Source organism: Homo sapiens, chromosome 14, assembly GCF_000001405.40.
Source record: "Homo sapiens chromosome 14, GRCh38.p14 Primary Assembly".
Classification (NCBI taxonomy): domain Eukaryota; kingdom Metazoa; phylum Chordata; class Mammalia; order Primates; family Hominidae; genus Homo; species Homo sapiens.
The window spans coordinates 71,507,121-71,531,768 of record NC_000014.9 but is presented as its reverse complement, the minus strand read 5'-3'; the positions used below and the strand labels follow the sequence as shown (position 1 = coordinate 71,531,768).

General features: G+C 40.3%; 1 protein-coding gene across 54 annotated transcripts in view; it reads right to left on the bottom strand.

Annotated features, from left to right (window-relative positions):
* The window catches only part of SIPA1L1 (signal induced proliferation associated 1 like 1), a 420,734-nt gene that overhangs the window by 209,441 nt on the left and 186,645 nt on the right, over nt 1-24,648 (bottom strand). For 45 of the 54 annotated variants that reach the window (XM_047431217.1, XM_047431229.1, XM_047431218.1 and 42 more), the window contains 2 exons: nt 18,924-19,026; nt 2,399-2,457 (listed from right to left, as the gene is read on the bottom strand). Coding sequence is in view for 18 of the 54 variants with exons in the window: in XM_047431243.1 (XP_047287199.1) it covers nt 2,399-2,414 (16 nt within the window). In the remaining 36 variants the exon portion in view is untranslated. Of the gene's footprint in view, nt 1-1,328; nt 1,439-2,398; nt 2,458-3,028; nt 3,071-18,923; nt 19,027-24,648 lie in introns of all 54 variants that reach the window. The other 9 variants (XM_047431251.1, NM_001284245.3, XM_047431245.1 and 6 more) reach the window with 2 other exon arrangements.

The window sequence follows — 24,648 nt, the reverse complement described above, 5'->3', positions numbered from 1 at the left end:
CTTGAAGGCTGAGGCGGACAAAAAATACAAAAAATTACCCAAACCTGGTGGTTCATCATGCCTGTATTCCCAGCTAATTGGGAGGCTGAGGTGGGAGGATCACTTGAGCCTGGGAGGTCGAGGCTGCAATGAGCTGAGATTGCACCACTGTACTCCCGCCTGGGCAACAGAGTGAGACCCTGTCTTAAAAAACAAAACAACAAAAACAAAAGCAAAAGCAAACAAAAAAAAGATACATTTCACACAAGAACAAGATAGAAAATGATCCCTAAGACCCAATATTGGGTCACAAGGGACATAAAGGCACAACAAAGATTTCCAAGGAGGCTCCCAGATGACTGATACACAGTACTATTTCGAGGTGCAACCTGACAGCCAGTTCTTAGGAGTAGACCCCTCTTCTGTACTACTGCTACCAGTACAAAGTAACATAGTGACAAACTGACAAATTTAGAAAAAAAAAAAAAAGAAGTAAATTTTGTAGGCATAATGGCGAATTCTCACAATGCAGAAAAATGATGCCAGAAGCATCATTTGGACTACAGAATGAATAGAGCTATTTAAATGAAACAGCAACCAACACACTCTGAAAACCTCATTAATGACACAATTGATCTATAAGTATCCTGCACATTCCACACCTGCACAGGAGTGTAGAAGTAGATACAGAGAGTGAACTCAATGGTAGGCCAATTACCAGAGAAAAGTGCTTCGTATTAGTAGATAAGACAGAAAGCTATCAGCATGTTGGTTCAAACTCATTGACCATTCAAAACCTAAAACATTCTATCACAGATCACTAGGATACCCAATAATAGATCTTTTCACAAGTACCTAAGAACAGATTTATAGCCTCTTTCAGCGATCCTCAATTTATTCTAAACTCCCTTACGATTTTGAGTAATAAATGCACATAGCATCTACATTTACTCAAAGTTAAAAAGCATCCAAAAATCATACAATACACTATGTGGGAAGAACACAAACAAATGCATGGGAATAATAAAGACCAAAACCAGGATAGTGGCTTCTTGGGGATTAAGAAAGGGAACTGCTGTTAGAGAGAAATATCCTGGGTTTTTTAATGTTCAATGGAATTGGTAAACATTCGATTTCTCTATAGAGTGTTGAGGAGAGGTAACATGGATTTTGTTTTTCTGCTAATCAAAAAGGAGCTGGGGTAAGGATATTTGTGTTATGCCTTATATGCTTTTTATATTTGAAATATTCCTACTAATTTTTCAAGAACAAAAACAAGGAATTAGAAGGGTATAGACTGTTCTAAGAAAACACAAAGAACAAGTCTGCACTGCCAAATATGCACCTACCTATGCAAAGGGATGAGTCTGCCAGTATCCAAGACCCTTTTTAGCATTCACAGCACAAGTTGGTCGATCAGGACGCAAAACCTTCTGGGGGTGTGGGGGTGGGGTAGAATCTGAAAGTGATATATTTTATTCTCATGTCTTTGAATACTAAATCACTACCTGCTAACTGTTAAGAGTGAAGAGTATGCCAGTCAACACCAACACACTCTGCCAGTTTAATTTAATGGTATTATTTTGCCTTGCTTTGCAATTACTCCTACATTTCCCCAGGGAGAAACTAATGGATTACTAAAAATAAAATGGAGACTAAGTGAATCACTTAGGCTGTTTTGGCTCCTAACTCAAACTGGCTTAAATAAAAAGGAAATGTATTGGCTCAAATGCTTGGACGTCAGAGAAAGGGCAAGCTTCAGGGCTGGTTTCCTTGTGATTCTGGACTCCGTCCTCCACCCTGTGTGGCTTCTCACTCAGTCCGGAAGCCACAATGCTGCAGCTACACCAGACCTCACACCAGCGCACAACAACATCCAGAAGTAAGAGGCAGCTCTGTCCTAACCATGAGAAGCCTTCTGCCAGAAGCTCCAGGCAAACCCACATTGGAGCCACGCTGGGTAGAAAAGGATTACAGGACCATCTCTGAAACCATCCCCCTGGCCAGGTAACACTCAGCACTCACTGATGTAGCCAGAGTTCATGAGTCAATCATGGACAAGGCAGAAATGAGACTGCTCCTAATCAGGGCGAGCTGCAGTCAGTTCTTCAACCCCATAACATGAGGAATAGATGCAACGCATGATATGGATCCAACCCTAATGTTCAGTCAGTACTATTTACAGGCAATAGCCTGAGCAATACTGTATCAGAATACGAAATAAATCACTATTACACTGTATTTGTATATAAAGCTATAGATTCAAAAAGCAGATGACAAACGACTTCATCTCTTTGAGAAAAGTAGATTTTTTAAAATTTTGTTTCTATGTTTTCATTTCTCTAATCAGAAATTTAAACACAGAAAATCAACACTTTGTAAAGCAGGTAGGTCATAGGAAGTATGGCATAGTACTTACTATATTCTTGTGCCATGGCTACCGAAATTTAGACAACGTCCACACCAATAAGGTATAACCTGAAATAAAATTAGAAAAAAAACCTGGTTAAGTGCACAATAAATTTCACTAAAATACAATAGCTGTATAACTTACACAGGTCTTATCTTTGTTCTAGAAGAGGCAAACCAGCCTTTCTAAGGTAAATAGTTGCTTTTAAATTAGACATTAGAGAAAAATGTCTCTAGTATTATCATATTTCTTTCTTTTTTTTTTTTTAAGATGGAGTTTCACTCTTGTTGCCCAGGCTAGAGGGCAATGGTGCGATCTTGGCTCACCACAACCTCCACCTCCCAGGTTCAAGCGATTCTTCTGCCTCAACCTCCCTAGTAGCTGAGATTACAGGCGTGTGCCACCACGCCCAGCTAATTTTGTATTTTTAGTAGAGACGAGGTTTCTCCATGTTAGTCAGGCTGGTCTCGAACTCCTGACCTCAGGTGATATGCCCGCCTCAGCCGCCCAAAGTGCTGGGATTACAGGCATGAGCCACCGCGCCCGGCCTGTCTGTAGTATTATAATATTTCTAAATATTTTTAAGGTCACATGCATCTTTGTAGAGCTGACCATAACAAACCAAAACAAACAAAATACCTTTTTATCAAGTACTGTTGCCCTGGACTGCTATTTATAAAGCTGAAACAAAAAGGGGAAAAAATAGAATTATTATTTTTCTCTTTTTGAGATGGAGTATCATTCTGTCACCCAGGCTACACTGCAGTGGCACAATCTTGGCTCACTACAACCTCTGCCTCCCAGGTTCAAGCAATTCTCCTGCCCAGCCTCCCGAGTAGCTGAACTAGAGGCGCGCACCATCACGCCCAGCTAATTTTTGTATTTTTAGTAGAGACAAGGTTTCACCATATTGCCCAGACAGGTCTCGAACCCCTGACCTCAGGTAATCCACCTGCCTCGGCCTCCCAAAGTGCTGGGATTACAGACGTGAGATACTGCGCCCAGCTGAAAAATAGAATTATTAAACAGACCTCAAAAATCATGTAGTCTACTCACTACAAGACACAACTAACCTGTTCAACCCAATGCAATTTAAAGCTAGATAAATAAGCTTCGATTTCTAAATTCCTTAACTTGAAGATCTGAGGAGACAGTTCTCAGGAGAAAAAAATGCAAAAATATGATTCCAATATCTGATACTGCATCATCTTACTTAGTAAAATCTATGAATATTCAGCACACTATGGAGTGCTGAACAAACACACCCACAGAACTTGAGATTTTTAAGATGCTGGAATTGCTTTTAATATTCAAAAGGGAAAGATAATAGCCGGTACAATGGCTCACGCCTGTAATCCCAACTACTCTGGGGACCCAGGCACGAAAATCGCTTGAACCTGGGAGGCGGAGCTTGCAGTGAGCTGAGATTGTGCTGCTGCACTCCTCCAGCCTGGACGATAGAGCGAGACTCGGTCTCAAAACAAAAAAAAGGAAAGATAAGAACTCTGTCCTTATCCAAACCTCAGACCACATAACTATATAACAAACCACACTTTCAATTAAGAGGGACTGAAAAACATGAAAGTCTAACTAAGCTTTAAGACAATTAAGTTTCCAGGTAGTATGATGACAAGGCTGAGGATCACTGTCCATGTATCCACAAATACAGTGTCTAACTTCACTTGCCTCAGTGTGTGTGAGATTCAGCCATGTTGCTGTATTCATTATAGTTAATAAGCTTTAAAAAAAAAATTTTTAAGCATTAAAAGAAGAAAAGTGGACGCCTCAAAACAGAAGGAAATATTTGCAATACATATATCTACCAAAGGACAGATTCAGAACATATAAAGAACTCCTTACAAATTAATAAGAGGGCTGTGCACAGTAGCTCATGTCTGTAATCCCAGCATTTTGGGAGGCTGAAGCAGGAGGATTGCTTGAGCCCAGGAGTTTGAGAACAGCCTGGGCAACATAGCAAGACCCTGTCACTACAAAAAAATTAAAAAATAAAAAAAATTCAACATCTTCCTTGGTTTAAAAAATAAAAATAAATAAAAATAAAAAATTAGCTAGGCATGGTGGTGTGCGCCTATAGTCCCAGCTATTTGGGAGGCTGAAGCAGGAGGATCGCTTGTCCCCAGGAGTTCGAGGCTTCAGTGAGCTCTAATTGCACCACCACATCCCAACCAGAGCAAGACTCTGTCCTAGGGGGAGAAGAAAAAGACAAGCCACCCAAACAGAATATAAAAATGGCTAACAAGCATATAAAAAGGTGTTCAACTTCATGCATCACCATGGAAATACAAATTAAAACTACAATGAAATAAAATTACATAATGATGAAAATGGCTGAAATTTTAAAATCTGACAACACCAAGACTTAGGATGTGCAGCAATTCAACTCTCACACAATGCTGATGGGAATACAAACCGTAAAGCTGTTTGGCAGCATCCAATAAAGCAGAACATAAACATACCCTGCAACCTAGCAATTCCACTCCTAGGTAAATGCCTCCTGGGAATGTGCAAACATAAATCCTATACAATAATTTTCCAATAAGTGTTAGCTGTAATAGCCGAAACCCAGTAACAAATTGTGGAATATTCATATAATGGAATATTATAGAGCAGGAATCAGGATTTTTTTTTTCTCCTGTAAAGGGCCAAATAGTAAATATTTCAGGCTTTGCAGGCCATAAAATCTCTGTCCCTGTCACATCTGCTCAAACCTGCCTTTGGAGTACAAAAGCAGCCATAGACAATACGGGCTTGGCTGTGTTCCGATAAAACTTTATTTACAAAAACAGCCAGTCCACCAGCCTTAGTTTCGCCTGCTACACAGCAATGAATATAAATGAACCATAACTAATACAAGAACACTGATAAATCTCACAAACATAATGTTGAGACAAAGATGCCAGACACATGAAAGAATATACTGTATGATTCTGTTTTATAAAGTTCAGTAATAGGTAAAACTATGTAAGTCAGAATAATAGTTTCCACTGAGTGTAGGATGTAGGGGAAAATACAGACTGGGAGAAGGAAAAGGGGGGAAATTCGGTGGGCTAATAATATTAGATTCCCTGATTTGAGTGGTAGTTTCACGACTATGTTCAATTTGGAAAAATTCATTAAGGTATAAATTTATGATGTACTTGTCTTCATTCTGAATAAAAAAAGTAAAACATTTCAGTAATTATTATAAATAAACAATACGGGACACATTACTAAGTGGATGCTTTCTCATAGCATGCTATACCCAGATTCAAACACTGATGGAATGCAAGCCTTGTGCCCTCACAAAGCAAGTTCCTGAAGCTCTCCCTTCACATCTACAGTGTGATGTCTGCATTGCAACTAAACTCCTCTTCCAAGTTTCATGTAGGACTTGAGAACGAGCTATGATTAGATAGCGTACACAGGAGTGGCAGGAGGTAAACGCAATACAGAGGGAGGAAGGAAAGTAACAGATGGGTGAAGAGACTGGTAGAAATAAGTCCCTGCATTTTAACATAATCTGCTAAGTAAGCAATACAGAATTTAAAAAGTAACACAAACAGCTTAGAAACACAATTTGGAAGGTCACTGAACTTGCCTTTTGGACATTAAAAATAACGACAATTTAAAAGCTTACTAAGGCTCTTAAAAGACTGATGAAGGGATTTATTTCTGGTACAACAATTTCTTCCAATCTAACAGATTAAATAGACAGGAAGTTTCAACTTTTCAAGTGAAGTAGCAAACGTGGCAATGATACAGTCTTGACTTTCAAAGCTGACATGTTTTCACATTATGAGGATTTACGTTCTATTGTATGGGCTTATGTCATTAGTGAAATGAAAAGAGAAGAAATAAAGAAAAGAAGGTGAAAATAATTGAAATCTAGTCACTACAGGCTGGGCGCAGTGGCTCACGCCTGTAATCCCAGCACTTTGGGAGGCCGAGGCGGGTGGATCACGAGGTCAGGAGATGGAGACCATTCTGGCTAACACAGTGAAACCCTGTCTCTATTAAAAACACACAAAAATTAGCCGGGTGTGGTGGCAGGCACCTGTAGTCCCAGCTACTCAGGGGGCTGAGGCAGGAGAATTGCTTGAACCCAGGAGGTGGGGCTTGCAGTGAGCCGAGATCGTACCACTGCACTCCAGCCTAGGCAAGAGTGAGACTCTGACTCAAAAAAAAAAAAAGTCAGTTGGGCTACATAGCAAAACCCCATCTCTACAAAAAATACAAAAATTAGCCAGGCGTGGTGGTGTGAGCCTGCAGTCCCAGCTACTCAGGAGGCTGAGGTAAGAGGATCACTTGAGCCCGGGAGGTTGAGGCTGCAGTGAGCCATGATCATGCCACTTCACTCCAGCCTGGGTGACAGAGCAAGATTATTAAATGTAGGGAGAGTAAAAGGCAAGTGAAAAGAAAAAAAGGAAAGGAAGTTTTCCCATAGAGGTAAGAATGGAAATAAGTTTTGAATGATTACAGATAGGCAAGGTTAGGAGAATAGAAGTATCACTCTAGGCAGAGGGAGAGAACGTATGCATGGAGACATGAATGAGTCGGTCATATCTGAGGTATAATCACAAATCTGAGACAACCAGAGTGTGACGTACAAGGACAAGCTAAAACTGAGATGTGGCCAGGTGCAGCCGATCATGCTTATAATCCCAGCACTTTGAGAGGCCAAGGCAGGAGGCTACTTGAGCCTAAGGAGTTTGAGATCAGCCTTGGCAACATAGTGAGACCTCATCTCTATTTAAAAATAAACAAATAAATAAAACTGAGATGATGAAAGGACTTGTAAATCACACTGAAGTTTGAATTTTATCTTACAAGCATTATGGAACCATGGGAGTGGGAACTGGGGAATGAGAATGGAGAATGAGAATGAAGTGGCATGTCTCAAAATATATCTTTTTGCATAGTTTTGACATTTAGAACCATGGTAATGTTTCCCGAAATAAAAAAAGCAAACAATTAACATCAACCAGTATATAAGGGGAACCTAAAGCGAAACATAAACAGTAACAACTAAACTGCATTAGGAATACATAACATAACCACATGACCACCCTGAAGGGAATGCAGAAGAACTAACCACTGTGGAAGCCAGTATCTTGACTATAATAGACACTGAGGCTAGAGACAAAACAAATACAGAAAGGAGAAAGGCTAGAATGAATTTCATGGTGTTAGATTTGAATCAGCGGTATCACTATGAAATCATAGTTTTTAACATGTATTTCAACAGACAGGAACAGATAAATGTAGATATGTGTATACATACATATATTCATCTCCCAGCTCTGTCCTCTGAGAGAGCCTAAGGGTAATAACATCTTAATAGCACAATTAGCACCCAGACGGTGGTTTCTAAACACCATCCTTCAATAAAAAGAACCAGGACTACTTGGAGAGATGTCTGGCTGCAAAACTGAGACAGGGAAAATATCAGGTGAGCCTGAAATATCTTGTGGTGCCAAAAAGTAAGGAAGTGCTCAAAAAAGCTGGGGACTTCTTAAAAGGAAAGTGGAACCAAACTGAAGAGGCCACATCTGGAACAATTTAAAGGATTATAACCCATAGGATAAAACAAACATCCACAAGTCCATAGTGATAAAAAATAAATAACTGAATGTGTAGTACATGGAAGAGAAGGCCAAGCTCTTTCTTATAGGAAAATTTTAATGGACACATGCAAAAAGGATAATGGAAGTAGAAAAACCACCATTTGACAAACACCACAGGTTAAAGAAAATAAGGAAACATAACTAACTGTAATGTTTGATCCTGGATTGGACCACGGTCCAAACAAAAGACATTATTGGAAGAGTTGATAAAAAACAAATGCAGTGTAGAGATCAGTTAGCAGTATTCTATCAAGGTTAATTACCTGATTTAGATAATTTTACTATAGTTATGTAAGATATTAACATTTGGGAAAGGTGGGCAAAGGGTAGATGGAAGTTGCTTGACATATCTAACTTTTTTTTTTTAAACTCTGAGATTATGTCAAAATAAAAAGCGAAAAAAAGAAAAATATGGATAGACAAGGGATTCTGAGTCATAACTTTCATCTAAAATCTAGTTGCAGGCCTTTTTCTCTCTATGCCAAATATTAAAGCTGACAAAGTGTGATATCTAAAAAAAAACATATATGCATATATGTGTAAATGAGAAGTTTGAAAATATGAGCAAATAAGGGACTGTAAATAACCAAACAGAATGGAGAGAGAACCAAACCATCGAGAAATTTAAAATGTGATAACTGAACTTTAAAAAAATTCATTAGGTGGATAAATCACAGAATGGACACAGATGAACAGTGAATCAGTAAACTGTAAGACTGACCTTGAAAAATTACCCAGAGTGTTTCTCAAATAAAAAAATGCAAACCTTAAAAGAGAGAGTAAGGTCGGGTGCAGTGGCTCACACCTGTAATTGCAGCACTTTGGGAGGCCAAGGCGGGTGGATCACCTAGCCTGGCCAACATGGTGAAATCTCATCTCAACTAAAAATACAAAAATTAGCTGGGTGTGGTGGTGGAGCCTGTAATCCCAACTACTCGGGAGGCTGAGGCAGGAGAATCACTTGAACCTGAGAGGTAGAGGTTGCAGTGAGCCGAGATCGTGCCACTGCACTCCAGCCTGGGCAACAAAGGGAGACTCCATCTCAAAAAAAAAAAAAAGAGAGAGAGAAATTAAGAAGCTTAGATGATAGAGTGAATAGACCTAAAATCTGCCTAAAAGGAGTGCCACTTGAGCATTCCAAATCGGAAAATCTGAAATCCGAAATGGTCCAAAACTTCAAACTTTTTGAGTGCTGACATGATGCTCAAAGGAAATGCTCACTGGAGTTCAGGTTTTCAGTTTTTCAGATAGGGATGCTCAACTAGAAAGTATACTACAAATATTCCAAAATCTGAAAAAACCTGAAATCCAAAACACTTCTGGTCCCAAGCATTTCAGATCAGGGATACTCACACTGTACTAGAAGAAGATAATGGAGAAACTCTCTGGTATAAATGACACACCAATCCTTGAATCCAGAAAGGCCAGCAAACAAGAAGCAAGTGAAAAATCAATACCAAGAGACATAAAAGTAAAAATACTGACCACTAAATAAAAAACAATCTTAAAAGCAGCAGAGAAAAGAAAATCACCTACAAATTACCCCAATTAAGGTGATGACTTATTTCTCAAAAGCAACAATGGAAGCCACAAGACAGAGAGAACTATTATTTTCAATAAACTAAGAGAGAGAACTATCAACCCAGAATTATATAGCTAGAGATAATTCCTTCTAGAACAATAAACATTTTCAGGCAAACAAAACCAAGATTTTACCATCAACAGACACACAATAAATTATATGACTTTTGCACAGCAGGAAAATGATCCCAGATGACAGACTTAAAAAGCAGATGAATGGCGATACCACACAAAAGATGACAACCAAATAAAGGGTTAACAGTCAGATGAAAGATGACTGACCCCATTAGTCATGATAAATAAATCACAATGTGGTACTACTACCTACCCACTGGAATGGCTGAAATTAAAACCATGTCACTAAGAATGTGGAGCAAATGGGACTCTCTTACACCTTTGGTAGCAGTGTTAACTGATACGGCTCCTTTGGAAAACTGGCAGCATCTATTAAAGTTGAACATAGGCATATGCTATAACTCAGCAATTTCACACCTAGGTAGACAGCCAGCATAAATGGACACATATTTGTAGCAAAAGACACTAATGGGGTTCAGCACATGCTACTGCAAAATATGGCATCTTAGCATTTGAGAAAACCACAGAAGCAACCTTCTCCTGTCCTTCTACTATGAAGTAGGCCATAAAAGAATTCTCTAGCCTTCCTCTGAAGTAGGTCATAAGACCTTCATTCCACAGATACCCTCCCTATACCTGCAGGAAAGGAATGCCCTTATCTCTGAAGACACAGGGACATGGAGCAGCTGAACAAATAGGCCTAGTTTATTACCACTGCCTCATACTCCCTTTGCCCAATCAGACTTCTGCACAACTGTCCACTCATCATCAAATTTAGCATAAAAATACAGAGATGTCCCTGCTTCTTTGGGTCTTAATTCCTGAAAATTCCTGTGTCACGTAAAACTTATATTAATAAATTCGTATGCTTCTCTCTTGTTAATCTGTCTTTTGTGATAGGATGTCAGCCATGTACCTAGCCATTGGAAAGAAAAAGAAATCTTTCTCCCCTACAACATAAACAAGGATGTTCATAGCAGTGCAATTCCTAATAGCCCAAAACTGAAAACAACTGCAGTGCACATCCACAGCAGAAAGAAAAGCTAGGCTGGGCACACTGGCTCACACCTGTAATCCCAGCACTTTGGGAGGCTGAGGCAGGCAGACTGCATGAGTCCAGGAGTTCGAGACCAGACTGGCCAACATGGCGAAACCCCATCCGTACAAAAAAATTAAAAAATTAACCAAACATGGTGGTGCATTCCTGTAGTCTCAGCTACTCGGGGGGCTGAGGTGGGAGGATCACCTGAGCCTGGGAGATGGAGGCTGCAGTGAGCTGAGATCACATCACTGCACTCCAGCCTGGGTGACAGAGTGAGGCCCTGTGTCAAAAATAAATAATAATAAGGAAAGAAAAATAATAATTGAGGAGTTCCATATAACGGAATACTGTAACAATAAAAGTAATGAAATATTGCTACCTGTAACATGAACTATCATGCATGTAATGCTGAAAGAAAAAAGCCATATACAAAAGTATACACTACCTAATTCCGTTTACAGAAAGTTCAACACCAGGCAAAACTAATCACTGCTATAACTCGCAGGAGTCCCATCAGGGGCTTCCAGAGTGACACTTCATTTTTTTGATCTCGGGACTGGTTTCATAGATGAGTCCAATTTTTGAAATTCACTGACCTATCCACTTATGATCTGTGCTCTGTGTGTATATCATACTTCAAAATAACATTTATTTAAAAATAAATAATAAGCAAAAACACTAGCAAGAATATCACAGAAAGAATACTGTGTTCTCATGGCATCCTATCAGTGACAAACAATTTTGATTTGTATTCTTACCAATGATGTTCATTTTGATGAACTGATTAAGGTGGTATCTGCCAGGCTTCCACCACTGTAATTTATTCTTTCCCCCTTTGTAATTAGTAAGTATTTCATATGGAGGTAATCTGAAACTATATAAATATCTGGTACCTCATCAAGCTTTCAATTAACGGCATTTCATTATTTAAAAAAAATTTGTTTTTTCATTTTTTTGAGACAGGGTCTTGCTCTGTCACCTAGGCTTGAGTGCAGTGGTGCAATCACAGTTCACTGCAGCCTCGATCTCCTGGGCTCAAGCAATCCTTCTGTCCTCAGCCGCTAAGATTATAGGTGTGTGCTGCCACCACAACCAGCTAATCATTTATTCATTCTTACATTTATGTTATTCATCAATTTATTCAGTGGGTTATAATCCATTACTATTATTGTTTACTATAATTAATCACTATTATAATCAATCAGTCAATCAATCAATCTTTTTTTTCCATAAGAGACTAGGTCTTACTCTGTCACCCAGGCTGGAGTGCAGTGGTATGATCATAACTCACTCAAACTCCTGGGCTCAAGCAATAATCCTGCCTCAGTCTCCTGAGTAGCTAGGATTACAGGTGTGTGACACCATGTCTGGCTATTTTTTTTTTTAATTTATTTGTTTAGAGGTAGGGTTTTGCTATGTTGCCCAGGCTGGTCTCAAACTCCCAGCCTCAAACAATTTTCCAGCCTTAGCCTCCCAAGTAGCTGGGATTACAAGCATGAGCTGCTGTATCTGGCAATCATTTCCTCATTTTCTGAAACTACATGTTTTGGTCTCATTTCTCCAAGGAGTACTGGTTCCTTTTATTAGAGAATTGTATTTAGAAATCAAGATTAGGGTGCCAGATATGTTCATTGTTATTGGGGGATACTTTCAGGCACTGTCAATGGCAGTGCTAGGGAATATAAATGCATGTGTGTTATACATCTACACATATATCTACATCCATAGGATTTTATTAGGAGGGTTTTTGTTTTTGTTTGAGGCAGGTTCTCACTCTGTTGCCCAGGCTGAAGTGCAGTGGTGCAATCACAGCTCACTACTGCAGCATCAACCTCCTGGGCTCAAGTGATCCTCCCACCACAGCCTCCCAAGTAGCTGGGACTACAGGTGCATGCCACCACGACCGGGTAATATTTCTAGTTTTTTGTAGGGATGGGGTGATATGGTTTGACTGTGTCCCCACTGAAATCTCAACTTGAATTGTATCTCCCAGAATTCCACGTGTTGTGGGAGGGACCCCGGGAAGGTAATTGAATCATGGGGGCTGGTCTTTCCCATGCTATTGTTGTGATAGTGAGTAAGTCTCAAGAGATCTGATGGGTTTTTCAGGGGTTTCCACTTTTGTTTCTTCATTTTCTCTTGCCGCCGCCATGTAAGAAGTGCCTTTTGCCTCCCGTCATGATTCTGAGGCCTCCCCAGCCATGTAGAACTGTAAGTCCAATTAAACCTCTTTTTCTTACCAGTCTTAGGTATGTCTTTATCAGCAGCATGAAAACAGACTAATACACAGTGTTTTGCCATGTTGCCCAGGCTGGTGCTGAACTCCTGAGCTCAAGTGATCTGCCAGCCTCAGCCTCCCAAAGTGCTGGGATTACAGGCGTGAACCACTACATCCAGCAGGACATTTTAAAAACTCGACAAATTCCAATCAATGGTGCCAATACTAGTAACAAAAAGTAAAGAAAAAGAAAAAAACTTCACAAGCTGACTATATGTGAAGTTCACATGAAAAATCAAAAGCCCAAGAAAAATCAAGATACTACACATGAAGACAACAGTAATGAGGGGATCTGCCATACCAACTATTAATTATAACACAGTAAGACTTCCAGGTTAATGGAGAAAGGTTGAATTATTTAATAATGGTACTTGCAAATGTGTTTATGCATGTGGAGGGAAATTAAACTAGATTCCTGTTCTACTCTCTATATAAAAATAAATCCCAACTTAACTAAAGACTTGCATTTAAAAAATAAAATACAATTTTTTTTTTTTTGAGACAGTCTCCCTCTGTTGCCTAGGCTGAAGTGCAGTGGTATGATCTTGGCTCACTACAACCTCCGCCTCTGAAGCTCAAGCAATCCTCCCACCTCAGCCTCCCAAGTAACTGAAACTACACGTGTGAGCCATCAAACCTGGCTAATTTTTGTATTTTTTGTAAAAATGAGGTTTTGCCATGTTGCCCAGGCTGGTCTCTAACTCCTGAGCTCAAGTGATTCACCCGCCTCAGCCTCCCAAAGTGGAAGGATTACAGGTGTGAGCCACTGTGTCCGTCCAGCCACTGCAGCTCGCCTCATTCTATGTTAAAATAAAAAACTTCTGTTCATTAAAGGATACCATGAAGAAAATAAAAAGATAAGCCACAAATTAAAAATCATATCAACAAAATATAAGTATCCAGAGTATATAACTCTTATAAATGTATAAGATAAACAATCCGAGAGAAAAATATATAAAAGTTACAAAATACAAAAAGTCCTTCAATACAAAAAAATGATGCTCAGTTTCCTTCCTTAGTAATTAGGAAAATATAAATGAAAAGCACCTTTCACACTACTAGCTTGACTAAATTTAAAAAGTCAAACAATGTCAAGAATGTGGCAAAGCTGTGGGGCAATGGAAACATTCAGATGCTCTGGTGGGAATGTACATTGGTACAATCACTTTGAAAGGCAGTCAAGATGTTAGGTAGGCAGATGGTACGGCATATCCTACCATCCAGCAATTTCACTCTTAAATTTATGTTCACTGAGAGACGTGTCGCCCGGAGACACATATAATTGTTTATACCCACAGAAAACTGCAAACAACTCAAATTCCAACAGTAAAATAAGAAAACAGAATGTGGTTTTGTTTGCAGGAAAATCAGTGAACCATGATGTTAAATGCATCAAGTGAAAAAACTCAAGGGGACAATGTCCCTCAGTACCTATGCCGAAATAAATTTGTAATAAACCAAAAAAAATTTTTTTAATTACATTACAAGCTTACTGAAGACTGGGCCAGTATCACTTAATAGTCATTAAAAGCTTCCCAAAAGTTTTGTACTAGGTATTCTAGATGTTTCCAAGACATATACAATTATGTCCACCAAGATACAATAATGTGATCCCCCAGTTTTGAAAATGACAGTGAGTCCATGGCACACACTAGATTAAACGAAATAAAACAAAACCATAGATGTCATTTTTATTTATAAGAAGGTACTTACATTCCCAAACTTCAATTAAAACTCTTGAGAAAGCACCATTCACACTGTGGTTTTTTAAAAGAAAAAAAAATGTTTTTGTTTTGTTTGTTTGTTTGAGACAAAGTCTCGTTCTGTTGCCCCAGCTGGAGTGCAACGATGAAACCTCAGCTCACTGCAATCTCCACCTCCCAGGTTCAAGCAATTCTCCTGACTCCGCCTCCTGAGTAGCTGGGATTACAGGCGCCCGCCACCACACCAGGCCAACTTTTGTATTTTTAGTAGAGATGGGGTTTTGCCATGTTGGCCAGGCTGGTCTCAAACTCCTCACCTCAAGCAATCCGCCTGCCTCAGCCTCCCAAAGTGCTGGGATTACAGGCGTGAGCCACCACACCCAGCCAAAAAAAAAAAGGCATTTTTAAAAAAAGTAAGTCTCACACTTATAATCCCAACAATTTGGGAGGCTGAGGCAGGAAGACTGCTTGAGCCCAGCCTGGGCAATACAGGGAGACCTCATCTCTACAAAAAATTTAAAAATTAGCCAAGCATGGTGACACATGCCAGTAGTCCCAGCTACTCAGGAGGCTGAGGTGGGAGGATTACTTGAGCCCAGAAGGTCAAGGCTGCAGTGAGCTACGATGGTGTCACTGCACTCCAGCATGGGTAACAAAGCAAGACCCTGTCTCAGAAAAAAAGGTTAATAAAAAATCCTGCTATTTTATTACTCAGCTACAGGGACAGGTGAGATTGTTTCTCTCAGGCTCAGATCAAGTAGAGTGTATCAATTTGTTTAAATATGTATGTATTTAAGAACAGCATAATTTCAACCAAAATAATTAAACTCTTCAAATCAATATAACTGGATTTTAAAACAAAACCAAAAACAACATCACATGAGCAGAATGCTTAGAGTTCTATCCATGATGCGTCTGATTTCAATCAGCACTGGTGTCACCATTGCCAAGCTGACCTGATCCAAGTTAGAGTGAGGTGCACTTAGAGGCCTAGTAACCACCCTTAAAGCAAAGGGTTCTTTATACCACTTAAAGTTAACACATTTTAACAGTTTGAAAACATCATAAAGTAAACAGTTAAATTTGGCATCAAAGATAACTATCTACTTTTCTTGGGTTTAAATGCTATATAATAGGCCAGGCTTGGTGGCTCACGCCTGTAATCCCAGAACTCTGGGAGGCTGAGGCAGGCGGATCACTTGAGGTCAGGAGCTCAAGACCAGCCTGGCCAACATGGTAAAACCCCATCTCTACTAAACAACAACAAAAAAATTAGCTGGGCCTGGTGGCATGTGCGTGTAGTAGCAGTTATTTGGGAGGCTGAGACAGGAGAATGGCTTGAATCCAGGAGGTAGAAGTTGCTGAGATCGCGCCACTGCAGTAGAGCGTGGGAGACAGAGTAAGACTCCATCTCAAAAAAAAAGAAATATTATATAATAATGTTCAGAATTTAGAATATTATGGACCATATTATGTGGGTTACAGTATGTACGAAATCTTTAAAACAGATGGTAAGTTACATAGAGACATCAAGTGACAGTTCTAGCTGATTCAGCTCTAATTCATTGTTTGCTTTCTAACAGCACTATTTCAAAATGAGCAATTCCATAGCCCATAGAAGAGATTTTCATTTTAAGTAGAGGTGACATCTTTACTTATGTAAGAAGCAATTATACAGGTTAACAGAAAAAATGAATTGCTATAGAATACACTAGAGATATGTTTCAGCAAACCATTAGTTTTCATTCTCAAGGGTATGTACTAAGGGTATCAGCTTAGCAGTCACTGAATTTATTAAGCCGTAATTTTGCTACACGAATTCTCCATTCTCTCCTTCAGAGCACTCTGAATAAATCAGAAAGCAATGTTTGCTTTCCTCTCTACAGTAACAACTGTGTATTTGGCCTGAATTCTAAATAATCAGGTTCTTTATGAAATTTTTGGAATTTAGCCAATATACAGATCTTTTCACTAAACATAAGCATGAAGGAAAGAGGCTCAAATCATAACTTTCATATTTAACTACTCAAAATGGGGGAGAACAGCCTCCTCAGACAAGTAGGATAAACATGCACAGAACTCTCCATCACCATACATGCTCTCCTGTCACTAAGAACAGAAATGTTTTTGAGAACTCGAAGCACAAACATTCATTTGGATGTTTGATGACATCAGCATCTATAGTCTAAAATCTATTGATATAATCCTTAGCACACAGTGTCTTTTACACTGGTTGAGAGCACACTAGGTGTGATGGTTAGTTTTATATGTTAACGTGGACAGTTATTTAATAGAACACTAATCTAGGTGTTGCTGAGAAGGTATTCTTTAGAGGGGGCTAACATCTACCTTCAATTGCTTTAAGTGAAGATTATCCTCCACAATGTGGGTGGGCCTCATCAGAGTGTCAGAGAGGGCAGCTAGTCAGACACAAATAGGGCAGGACTGGGCCCCCACACTCCCAGGAAAGTTAGGCAACCATCAAGTGGTGGACAGGCAGTTGTCACACCGCCTCACTAAAATAACAATAAGTTGCAGGCAGCACCAGGGAAAGGTAGTCTCCCTATAGATAGGAAACACCTGAAACTGGTGATCAGCAGCTTCCTAATAAGTTCTCAATGGGTGGGTGAATAACCTCAAGCATGTGCATTAAGAGGCAAAATGGCAGAGTATGACCTTCTAGGGACATTCTGCTGGTAAGGGAAGAATGCCTCAGGCAAGCGTTATGTACAACTCCAGTAAACACACTGCACATGCTCCCCTCCAAGCACTAACAGACCACTGTGCATACAGACAACCCACTCCAAGGGAAGAATCAGGGCAGAAAGGACGCCAGACCCTGGAAGTATGCTAACATATAACACCCCAAGTCAAAAGGTCAAACCCCACACTTGTCCTTCAAGTCACCCTCAGTATCTTTGCAGATACTGCACCGCTTCCAAGTGTACTTTCTCTCCTTTTGTTCCTGCTCTAAAGCTTTTTAATAAACTTTCACTCCTGCTCTAAAACTTGCCTCGGTCTCTTCTTCTGCCTTATGCCCCTCAGTCAATTTTTTTCTTCTGAGGAGGCAAGAATTGAGGTTGCTGCAGACCCGTACGGATTCGCCGCCGGTAATGAAAGGCCTTTAGAGCAACAGCGGAGGACTCCCAAGGAAGAAGTTCTGCGTCATGACCGCAGCATCAACATCTATCTGCGAGTTTCTAGCCTGACCTACAGATTTCTAACTTGCCATCCCTAACTGTCATCCCTAATTGGCTTACTCGCCAATTTCTTTCTTGAAATCAGTCAGGCCAGTCTCAGTAGCTTACTCCTGTAACCCCTGTCCTTTGGGAAGCCTAGGTGGATCACTAGAGCTCGGGTGTTTGAGACCAGCCTAGGCAACATAGCAAGACCCCATTTCTATAGAAAAATTTAAAAATTAGCTAGGCACGGTGGCACGTGCCTTTAGTCCCAGCTACCTGGGAGGCTGAGGTAGGAGAATGAATCCCTTAAGCCCACGAATTTGAGGTTACAGTGAGCTATGACTGCACCACTGCACACAAACCTAAGCAACAGAGCGAGACCCTGCCTCTAAAACAAAACAAAACAAAAATCGGTCAATATCTATTTCCATGTCTGTATGTCTGTCTCTCTCTTTACACATATAAATATATTTGTATTTATAAACACACACACTCTGGAGAACCCTGACTGATACACTAGGTAAAAAGAAACACTATGTTTCTTCTACACACACCAACAAATTCCAACATCAAATCATCAAATAGGGAATGGGGAGTTCCACAACAACCAAGTGTCCAATTCTTGGCAGACACCAAGACACCAACCAGATGTCTTACAGTTCAATTCTACGGTGATACTGTCTACCTGGAGTTAGCTATTGATGAAGAACGCCAAACTCTGTAAAATACTTGAAAAGATTTACTCTGAACCAAACATGAGTGACCATGGCCTGAGGCACAGTCTCAAAAGGTCCTGAGAATACGTGCCCAAGGTGGTTGGGTTTCAGCTTAGTTTTAGGGAGACACGAGACATCAGTCAGTATATGTGAGGTATACATTGGTTCGATCTGGAAAGGTGGGACAACTTGAGGGGGTTGGGGGAAGTGGGTCTCAGGTGGATTCAAAGTCTGATTGGCAATTGGTTGAAGGAGTTACTATCTAAAGAACTGGAATAAACAGAAAGGAGTGTCTGAGTTAAGATAAGGAGCTATGGAGACAAAAGTTCTTACCACACAGATGAAGTCTCATAGGTGGCCGCCCAGAGAGACAATTGATGATCAGACCTTTAAAAGGTGCCAGACTCTCAGCTAATGTCTTCAGGATAGGGAGGGCCTGGAAGGGGAAAGATCTAGTTAACAGAGATTCTTTATAGATGCACATTCCCACCCCCCTCCCAACCCCCCCAACCCCGGCTTCCCCCCACACACAAAAGATGGCATTGCAGGGCCATGTCAAAATATGGCAAAGAACCTTTTTTTTTTTTTTTTTTGAGACAGAGTCTCGCTCTGTCGCCAGGCTGGAGTGCAGTGGCGCGATCTCAGCTCACTGTAACCTCCGCCTCCTGGGTTCAAGCAATTCTCCTGCCTCAACCTCTCGAGTAGCTGGGACTATAGGCACGTGGCACCATGCCCAGCTAATTTTTGTATTTTTAGTAGAGACGGGGTTTCACCATGTTAGCCAGGATGGTCTCGATCTCCTGACCTCGTGAAAGAACATATTTTAACGTAAAATATTTCCATTTCCTCCTTTATCTGTCATGTGATGTTATGCCAGTCAGGCTGGTTAAGTAAAACCCAGTTGATGAGATTTTATGATTTAGAGAGAGTGACTTCCCAGACCCCTGTAGGAATTTGGGCAAGAGACAAAAAGGTCAGAGTTTAGTCCTCATAGCTTAGATCCCACAAGGCTGTTCCTAATTCAGACGCTAACCATCAAGTCCAGGCCTCAGGTATTTCTTACCTACAGAAAATAAATTGCGTGGGAGGTGGGAAGGGAGTTTCCCATGACCCCCTCCTTGAGTTTGAGAATTTCCTAGAAGGACTCACAAAACTCCAGAAAACAGGTACTTCTGTTCGCCAGTTTTTTACAAAGATATAAGTGAGGAACAGCCAAATGGAAGATGCATATCGTGGGGTAAGGGAGGAGGCAAGCCCTCTCGGGGCACAGCACCTAAATGTGTTCACCAACCCGGGAGCTCTCTGAGGCTGTCCTTTTGAAGAGTTTTCTGGAAAACTCTCTAAACCTCCGGCCCATCTTTCCTCCATGGAGCTAACGGGATGGGATGGAAAGTTCCAAACCTCTACTCACATGACTGATTACCCAGGAAACCAGTCCCCATTCCAAAGCGGTTCAGGGGTTTTCAACCACTAGTCATCGTATTAATATACAAAAAGACACTCTTATCACTCCTGAGAGGTCAAGGGTCTTCGAAGCTCTTGTGTCAGGAACCAAGGACTAAGACCAAATACTGTAACAAAAGATGCTCCTGCCAGGAGCAATGGCTCATGCCTGCAATCCCAACACTTTGGGATGTAAAAGTGGGCACATTGCTTGAGCCCAGGAGTTCAAGATCAGCCTGGGCAACAAAGTGAGACCCCAACTCTGCAAAAAAAAAATAAAAAATTTAGCCAGGCATGGTGGCCCACGCCTGTAGTCTCAGCTACTAGGGAGGCTGAGGTGGGAGAATTGCTTGAGTCCAGAAGGTAGAGGCAGCAGTGAGCTGTGTTCACACCACTCTACTACAGCCTGGGCAACAGTGAGACCCTGTCTCAAAAGGAAAGGCGGGGGAGGGGGGCTGAAAATGCTCCTGTCATACCCTATCAGTCAAGAAGTTTTAGAAGTTTTAGATCTGTGCCAGGAACCCAGGTCAGAGACTAAACATATACTTCTTATGTCACACTAGGCAACATGGGAAACACTGTGAGTTTTAAAGGTTTTTAAATTTGAAGTCATACAAGGAAAAAGGCACTTTAATTCAATTCACCTGGGGAACAAAGGCATCCCTTGTTTACTGAAAGATCATACATAATGACTGAAATAATCCCCAACTAACTAAAAGAAAAGTAGATCAATGGTAAGTATACTAAACTCTCTGTATGAAAAACATTTCAGGGAAAGACAGGGTAACATTAGTTCTGATGTGGGATCTGGGGAAAGGGGAGGAGGGCTGGAAGAAAATCAGGCAAAGTGAAATGGAATGCCACACCTGAGCTGAGCTGTCAAGGCCCGTACTTATTCACTCAACCATTTTAAGCTAATAATGTTTCAGGACTATGTCCCAGATGTTTTACTTTGACTGTCTCATCGATTGGTTCATACCAACATTAACTGGCACATACTATTATTATCCATAATTCTCAGGAGGGATGGAGGAGCTAAATACACAATTCACAAAAGTGACACAGCTATGAAGTGGTACTGGGCCCTGATTTGAGTTACTGAGCTATATGCACCCCTGGCAATAATTCCCAGGCAAAACAATAGGGCAAAAACATTCTATGCCAGATAATCTTATGAGCAATGTCACAGACATATTAACAGTAAATAGTATATTATGTTTGAGATTTGTACATAAAGAAAGGGGATTAGGCCAGGCGTGGTGGCTCGCACCTGTAATCCCAGCATTTTGGGAGGCCGACCTGGGTGGATCACCTGAGGTCATGAGTTTGAGACCAGCCCAGCCAACATAATGAAACCCTGTCTCTACTAAAAATACAAAAAATTAGCTGGGCGTGGTGGCGGGCACCTGTAATTCCAGCTATTTGGGAGGCTGAAGCAGGAGAATTGTTTGAACCTGGGAGGCAGAGGTTGCCGTGAGCCAAGATCGTGCCACTGCACTCCAACCTGGGCAACAAGAGTGAAACTCCATCTCACAAAAAAAAAAAAAAAAAAAAAAAAGGTGGGGGGGATTAAGGGGAACTAGCATGAGCAGAAACAAAAAAGCAAGCTGTATAAAGAGAAAAGATTTTTGGTTCAAAGTTGCCAAGAACTGTTAAATAAAATTTACAGGAGGCCACTGTTTTGAACTGAGCTTCTGCATTAGGCTCCAGCAGGCCAGATCAAAGTGGGGGCACTTGTGTCAAGTTGAAACTTTATTAACAGATAAATCCCAAACAGGCCAGTGTTTCCAAAAAAACCCAGGAGATTCACAGAAACCAATCCAGAAGAGCCCAGTCAACCTGAACTGGCATGATACGGAAGTTCCTGTCTCTTCTGCTTTAACCCTTAAAAGAAAAGTAACCTGAAATAACCTGATGTTAACAAATCTGCTCTTTTATATTGTACTGTTTGCTTGAGCTTTCTTTCTTTTTTCTTTCTTTTTTTTTTTTTTGAGATGGAGTTTCACTCTTGTTGCCCAGGCTGGAGTGCAATGGCGTGATCTCAGTTCACTGCAACCTCCGCCTCCCGGGTTCAAGCAATTCTCCTGCCTCAGCCTCCCTAGTAGCTGGGATTACAGGCACCTGCCACCACACCCAGCTAATTTTTTGTATTATTAGTAGAGACAGAGTTTCACTATGTTGGCCAGGCTGGTCTAGAACTCCTGACCTCAAGCAATCCACTGGCCTCAGCCTCCCAAAGCGCTGGGATTATAGGCGTGAGCCACCGTGCCCAGCTTGTTTCCTTGATATTGCTCATGCTACCTTACAAAAAAACAATTGTTCTGCCATGCACAATGGAGCTCCAAATTTGTAGACGTATGCTTCCCAGTTCATGAATAACTAATAGAAACCAATTAGATGTTCAAATTTGTTGAAAGATTTTGTTTTTAAATACAACCTAAAAATTTACCTTTTTTCCATCCTATCTCAACTTAATAAGAAAATAAAAACAGAAATTCAGGAAGTACAGGAAATCCCAATATAGATGATATCAGCAGACCAGACCAGTGAAAAATTCTGAGAAACAGAAAGCATATGGAAACAGCACGAGGACAAACCCCATAGGGCCAAGAGAACTGTAACTCGTTACAAGTAAGAGGACGGACCTTCAAATAAATTTTCCTAGCAGAATCCAGGAATAACTAACCATGTCAGCCGATTCTGGGAGAAGCAGCAGGCCTTGGATGGTGAGCCAGGGAATTAAAACTCACACATCTTATGGGAAAATCTACACTACTCAACAGGGTACACTCACCATGGCTTCTGTAATAACAGTCTACATGCACTACCAGGTGAATAAAAGTCTTTACAGCAAAGCTGAATTCAACTTTTTAGTTCTACCACTTACTACAAATAAATCTATGACAATCGCTACTCATCCCATGAAAATCAGCAACATGAAAAGGAGTACTGAACTCAAGAATACCTAAAAAAAATTCATACAAAAAACAAAGACTATGTTTTTTAAAGTATAATAAATTCCCTCAAGAAATTCAAGGAAACATGATATGCATAAAAAGAAAAAAGAAAACTTTTTGGTTAAAACATATTTGTTCGGAAATAAAAGTATGCAAGGTGAATCAGCATCAGCTCCTGGAACTCTGTGGCTGGCTTCTCTACCCTGGATGCCATCCCCAGTGGACATACCATGTTCTAGTATCTTCTCTCTTTCCAAAATCACTTCTTTGGCTTCTCTTCGGCTTATAAACATGTACAAACTTCCTTTAAATTAGAAAAAGCCTTTCCCATGACCCAGATCCCTTTTCCAAATAAAGAAGTAATGAGGTGAGGAGGTGTTAAGAAGCTGAATGGATGGTCTATTATATGAACAAAGAAACAAGAGAAAAATGGGGAGGGATAGTTAGTAACATACCAAACTTAAAGTGCCACCTTTACTGGAGGAGATTACAAATTAAGAGCCTGTATATAGAACTTTGTCCATGAGCATATTTTCCTTGACCCATGGAGTGTTTTACAGAAATTCAATTCCATTTTTTAAAATCATGTATTTAAAATGAAAATACAGATTAACAGCTTCTCTTGAAAAACTGGTAGATCTGATAGCTTTGAGGCCACATTCCCAAACAGCAATGGTGGCTGGAGCCAAATGGCCAGCATGAAACAGGCATTCTCCTCCTCTCCACAGTCCCCAAGACTGTCTTCCTCACCTTGAGCTTATGCCGGTTACCCTCTATCGTCCCACTTGCCCTCTTTTTTTCTTACAGTAGAAAAATATTTCCTCTTATCCCAAGGCCTGCTTTTACTCATTGCCATTGTTTGCCAGGCCCCTGCAGGCACTTAAGTTTGTGAGTCCGCTGCAGAATGATGGAGTCAAGAGAGGAGCTGAAAACACAGACCTCTGGCTGGTAAGAGAAGGCTGACAGGGCTAGAGTTATAGCTTTAGGGGAGCTTGACATATGTTAAAATGAAAGAAGACTGAGTTCACAAAAAAAGAATATATTAAAAGGAAATGGCAATAATGAAGGAACTTTAGGAAATAACCATAATTCAAGTCAGTATGAGAAACTGAAAGGTAAGTAAGTAACAGTAAGAGAAAGGAAGTACAAGGAGTAAGATGGTCAAGACAGATTTCAAAATGAGTTAAATTGATGGTGCACAGATTACAGCAAAAATTCATTCAGTTGTGACACTCCAGCCATAGAAAGAGATCATGGTCCACTGTAAAGTAATCTACTTAACAACCAAATTCAAGTCTAAACTACCCACGAAACTGAACTACACATCAATTGATTAAGGTTAACACAGAAAGATGAGTGTCTTAATTACTGTCAATGTAAATGCTGTATCAAGGTCTTGGAAGACATTTTTCATTGACCAGAATTATCATATGACAAAATTCATCTTACATGTTAAAAACACTTTCAAATGAAACAAACAGGCGGGAAAAAAAAATTAGGCACAAATCAACAACAAAATTTCCCTCCAACTGCTGCACTCTATGAGAGTACGTTGTGCTGTCATATTAACAAAAATGATCAGTTAATAAAGTGAAAAAGTTACCAAGTTTTCCTCTAAATTTTTATGTCATGAGGAGAGCAAAAAGGCCCATTTAACC